Source organism: Homo sapiens, chromosome 11 (genome assembly GCF_000001405.40).
Source record: "Homo sapiens chromosome 11, GRCh38.p14 Primary Assembly".
NCBI classification, from domain to species: Eukaryota; Metazoa; Chordata; class Mammalia; order Primates; family Hominidae; genus Homo; species Homo sapiens.
The window spans coordinates 50,168,780-50,169,888 of record NC_000011.10 but is presented as its reverse complement, the minus strand read 5'-3'; positions in this window follow the sequence as shown (position 1 = coordinate 50,169,888).

Here is a 1,109-nt window from a genome sequence, read left to right as displayed (position 1 = left end):
GAGAAGATTGTCACAGCTCCCCTTATAAACGACGCATCTCCACCCCTACCCCGCCTGCACTGCAGCGAGTTAAATATGAAACAGGGCTTCGCTTATCAGCCAACGGGAGGATGAGCCCATGCCAAAGCTCCTTCAGCAGCTTTCAGGGAGGAAGGGTTTGGGTGAGGCTTACGATAGAAAATCTCAACCTTTGCCACTCAGCCTGGGGCTTCTTCCTGTTGTGTTCACAATCTCTCCCTCCTAACTAAAAGGCTTCTTGAATTTCAGCTATTTTATCGATAGCTTGCCAAAGAAGCTAAACGTTTTCTTTTTTCCCCCTCATATTATGTAAACGTTCAAATTCTGTCCTTTAGAGAAGTCATAACCTGGAATTGGGTGCTCAGGGTGATTGAAGGACCACCTTGGTACTCAGTAAATATTTGTCGAATTAGATTAGGAAAACATAGCCAGGTAACCCTAAATCAGTTCAGCTGGTGCTAGATGAATGAGAGAGGGGGAACCCAAATAAGTTAGCCAAAGCAGTAGTGGAGCTGGAAAGCTTAAGAAGAAGAGAGGGAGCAAGAAGGGGAGAAGTCTGAAAGGACAAAGGGACTAGGAAGAAGCCCTGCTTGTGTCTGCAGTGTGCCTCCAAGTGAGACTGACGTCCTTAGACTTTAATGTGGTAGAGCACGTTTAAAGTCGATTCCAGATGCGAAAATTGACCTGTTGGGAAATCCATCATCCATGCAAATCTATCATTTTGTTTCTGAATGACAAGGTCAGAAAGAAAAATTGCAATGAACTTCATATTTACTGGCAGCTTAGCTATGGACTGACATTTAGAGATGTTAAGTTATTGCTCAAGGTCACACACCTGGCAAATAGCAGAATTGGGGTTTGAACTCAGGTTGTCTGAGTCTAAAGGCCATATATCTGGCCAGGTGTGGTGGCTCATGCCTGTGATCTCAACACTGTGGGAGGCTGAGGCAGGTGGATCACCTGAGGTCAGGAGTTTGAGACCAGCCTGGCTAACATGGTGAAACTAAAAATACAAAATACAAAAATATGAAAAAAAAATTAGCCAGGTGTGGTGGTGCACATCTGTAGTACCAGCTACTCAGGAGGCTGAT